The 4,356-nt window shown below is 45.8% G+C and overlaps 1 annotated feature.

The window, feature by feature from the left end:
* Positions 1,949–2,124: a silencer, noted in NCBI's record as "fragment chr22:48363686-48363861 (GRCh37/hg19 assembly coordinates)". NCBI's record gives its function as "represses an EF-1alpha promoter that drives an FKBP-Casp9 reporter gene in an ReSE screen in HepG2 liver carcinoma cells {active_cell/tissue: HepG2}" and the evidence as "EXISTENCE:reporter gene assay evidence [ECO:0000049][PMID:32094911]".

The following is a 4,356-nucleotide window of genomic DNA, read 5'->3' as shown; positions in this document are numbered from 1 at the left end:
GCACCTATGATGGCCGCTTTTCAGTACTTTTGTTGGTTTTCTATTGAGTCACTTCGTTCGTGTCTTCCACACAAGAAAGTGAATGACCATTTTGCGTGATACTCAGCCCCTGCAGAGCAGTGCCTTTCACATAGTTGGTGTCTATTAAGAAATAACAGGGCCAGTCATGGTGGCTCACACCTGGAATCCCAGCACTTTGGGAGGCCGAGGCGTGTGGATCACCTGAGGTCAGGAGTTTGAGACCAGCCTGGTCAACATGGTGAAACCCCATTTCTACTAAAAATACAAAAATTATCTGGGCGTGTGGCAGGAGCCTGTAATCTCAGCAACACAGGAGGCTAAGGCAGGAGAATAGCTTGAACCGGGGAGGTGGAGGTTGTAGTGAGCTGAGACAGTGCCATTGCACTCCAGGCTGGGCAACAAGAGCAAAATTCAAAAAAAAAAAAAAAGAAAGAAAGAAATAACAGGATGGATAATGAGGTGGACAACCAGATGGAAGGACAGAAGGAAGAATGGGTAGGTGGACAGATAGCTATATAAATGAGTGGACAGAAGGAAGAACAGGTGGGTGGACGGACAGCTATATGAATGCGTGGATACCCCAGGGCATTAGGAAGGCATTTTAAGCCTTCTCACACCCCTACTGATTCTCACAATGGTGTTGTGGGTACGCCTGGGGAGATTATGTCACTTTTTTGACTTTAGGGGCTGGCGGACACTGGTTCACCCAAAACCCAGATCAGGGGCTCAGTCACCATGCAATTACCTGCCTAGGGCCATTGACCAAAAGCAGCCATCACACCCATGAGAGGTGCCAGAACTAGCAAATAAAAGTGCAGTGTTTGGGACCTATTTAGACTAAAAATTTATTTGTTGCTTCTTTGAAATTCAAATTTAACAGAGAACTCTGTATTTTATCTGGCAATTAATAAGACACATAAAAGATATTCAATAAATAGGAAGGGACTTGGGCCTGCAAGCCACCTGTTTCTACCCTTCACCTGCAAGGATGGCTTTTCTAGGACCAAGGCCGAATGCAGGGCAGAGCATAACGGAGAAGCACCAGCTGTTTCACTCACAGCACTGTCATCTGAGGGTCCTATGCGCAATGTGAACTATCTACATTCTCATGAATTGTCTCTAAGTAGCAAGCGCATTAGAAGCAGCAGAGGCCAAGATCTCGATGTTGCCCCTTGCTTGACCTCAAGGACTGTCTCTAGTAAGTAAATGCATCACCTAATCTGTGGTGCCTCCTGCCAAGAACCGTGTTTTTTACCAAGAAGAGGGAAAAACAAATGTAATATTGCAAGCAATGCAAAGCCCCTCAATAATACGTATTAAGGGTGGTTGAAGGCCCAGATTATTTTATTCTTTATGTTAAGTAAGATCATTTTCAAGGGTACTAAACTAATTAAAACATCCACATTTCTCTCAGGAAAGCCCCTTTCCCAATGAGGCCTTATTGGTTACAAACCACGTCTGTCTTTAGGCATGCACTTAGAGATGGATGCTGTATTATCTATTGCACATGGCCAGGATGTATTGGATATTTGATAGAGGAAATGTCCAGCTTTTAGGAAATCCAATTCCATTAAATGCAGCAAATATCCATTGACTGTCTATGACTGCCCATCATTTTGATATGCAGCTGCTCTTCAGGATTATTTTTCAAACTAGAGTATTCATTAGTCAAGAAACAAGATTTCCAGCGGAAACTTTGGTCAAGCCATTGGACATTTATAGAGCCGCTTCTCTACCTTATTCCTCCATCGGGGCTGCTGGAGAGGCATGATCAGAGTCAAATGGACTGTCATCTCATGAGTGAGTATGGTCTCCTGGTAGAGATAACCATAAAGAGGGACTCAAAAAGGCCCCAGTAATGCTGGGGTGGAGCAGGAAAAGGCAGGGGAGAGTTGTCGGCAGACAGATCTGGAATCTGGCAGCAGGAAGTGGCCCTGAGCCTCTGAATGGCAGGGCATGTGCTTTGTATTTGTCTCCCCAGCACTGGGTCCTAGCCGAGCACCAGGTGGCAGACAGTGAACCTGCACTGATGGCCGCTGTGGATAAGGGATGCATAGGAGCTCAGCAGGTGCAGGAGCAGAAGAAGGCTGCATTTCAGAGGCCAGTGACAACACAGCTAACAGTGCAGGGAAAGATGGGCTTGGGGGCCAACGATAATAATGATAAATTTGCCCATGTACCAGTGAAATCAGATGAAAGGTGTGTGTGTGTATGTGTGTGTGTGTATATGTGTGCATATGTGTCTGTGTATGTGTCTGTATGTGTGTGTTTGTATATGTGTGTATATGTTTATGTGTGTATGTATATGTGTGTATGTGTATATGTATGCATGTTTATGTGTGTGTTTGTGTGTATATATGTGCGTATATGTGTGTATATATGTGTTTATGTATGTGCAAGTTTGTGTTTATGTGTGTGTATATGTGTTATATGTGTTCATGTTTGTGTGTATATGTGTTTGCATGTTTATGTGTGTGAACGTTTATGTGTGCACATGTTTATGTGTGTATGTGTGCATATGTGTTTGCACGTTTGTATGTGTATGTGTGTGCATGTTTTGTGTGTGTGTGTGTGTGTGTGTGTGTGTTGCTTTGCTATGGCTGCTGGAACAAGGTACCACAGCTTGGGTTGCTTGAAAAAACAAAAATTTATTGTTCCATGGTTCTGGTGGCCAGAAGTTGAAGATCAAGGTGGTAGCAGTGTTGGTCCCTTCTGTGTCTGGGAGGCAAAAGCTGTGCATGCCTCTTCCCAGCTTCCGTGTCTGGCTGGCCTCTTTTGCATTCCTTGGCTTATAAATGCATCACCCTGGTCTCCACCTCCACAGTCCCATGGCGTTCTCACTGTTTTTTGTCTCTATGTCCAAATTTCCCCCTTTGATAACGTCACATTAGAGCAGCGCTCATCCTCCTGTAGCATGACTTCATGTTAACTAATTACATCTGCCGTGATTTTATTTCCAAATAAAGTTCCATGCTGAGGAACTGGGGGTTAAGACCTCAACATATACATTTTGGGGGGACACCATTCAACCTATAACCCTGTGTGTGCTTACTTCTCACATGTCTGTATTTGGCTTTCTTCTACTCCTGCAGAGGTGAACAGTATACCGGGGAGGACTGAGTTGTAGCAAGAGGAAGAGCAATCATAAAAACCGGCCCTGATAATGTGCTTACTCTGTGCTTGGAACTGCTCTCAGCATTTTACAGGCTCCAATTCATTTAATCATCAGTACAACCCTGCAAGATAGATGCTAGTGCTCTCTATTTTACAGCTGAGGAAACTGGAGTGCAAGCAGGTTAAGCAAGTCTTCCAGGATCACAGACAGTAAATATAACATATGCATAATTTCCCGTGTTGCTGTGGAGGAGAAGGAAGGCGGGCTTGCCAGGTGGTCACCAGCCCCAGCAAGGGCATGGGGATCCAGCAGCCACAGGTTGATGGGTGGATGCCCAAGGGAGGATGAAGGTTAGAGCCAGACCTCCGCGGATCTGCACACAGTGATGTCGAGTAAGGACCTTTCTTTTGCATTGTGCTTGCCAAGACCACAGGTCAGGGAGGCATCAGCTGTGGACACTCTGTTAAAGAAAATGATTCAATGGCACTCGCTAAAGTTCTGTAAGGAAGACTTTATTAGGACCATCACAATAGGTGGAGGGACTACCAGGATGAGACCTTGTCATAGGCAGAAAGATTGGGCTCAATCCCAAGTACAGCATGGGAAAGTGGGGATTAGTAGCCAAGGAGAAGGGTGGGTTCAGGGGCTGAAACATGAATGAGAGGGGATATCAGCAGTGAGTAGGACTCACAGTAAAGCAGCCTAATGGGATTCTTGCTGAGGACAGGCCAGGGTGACTGGCATCACCTGGGGGCTGCAGGAAGATCAGGAGCCTGATCAGGTATCAAGGGTGATCAGATATCGAAGGTGGGGGTTATTGGTAAAGTAACTTACTGAAGTTCTTGGTAAACCTGGATTTTGGAAGGAAGTGCACAGGTGGGTCTGGGGGAGGTGCAGGAGCCTGGCTAACATTTGGTGAAGTGGAGAATCTTTGTCAACCCCAGCAGGTTGGGATGCAAGAACCTAGGTGGACACCAGCGAAAAGCAGGGTGAGAAACCTCAGCCACGCATTGCTGTTGGAGCACAGATGTCACCTAACCCATGAGGAGACCCTGCCTGTAGCACCCACCACTTCATCCAGGGAGGGAAACAGAGGGGAAAAGACAGAAGTTGTAAGTCAAGGAAGCGCCTTCCCGAGAGACCTGAGTCTTGAATTTTGCATTAACTCCAAAGAAACCGAGGTAACCATAGACACCTTGTTAAGCCAAGAGAAGCAGATA

The sequence above is a fragment of the Homo sapiens genome, chromosome 22 (genome assembly GCF_000001405.40).
Source record: "Homo sapiens chromosome 22, GRCh38.p14 Primary Assembly".
NCBI lineage: Eukaryota > Metazoa > Chordata > Mammalia > Primates > Hominidae > Homo > Homo sapiens.
The sequence above is the reverse complement of the archived record's forward strand: the minus strand, read 5'-3'. Positions and strand labels throughout refer to the sequence as shown.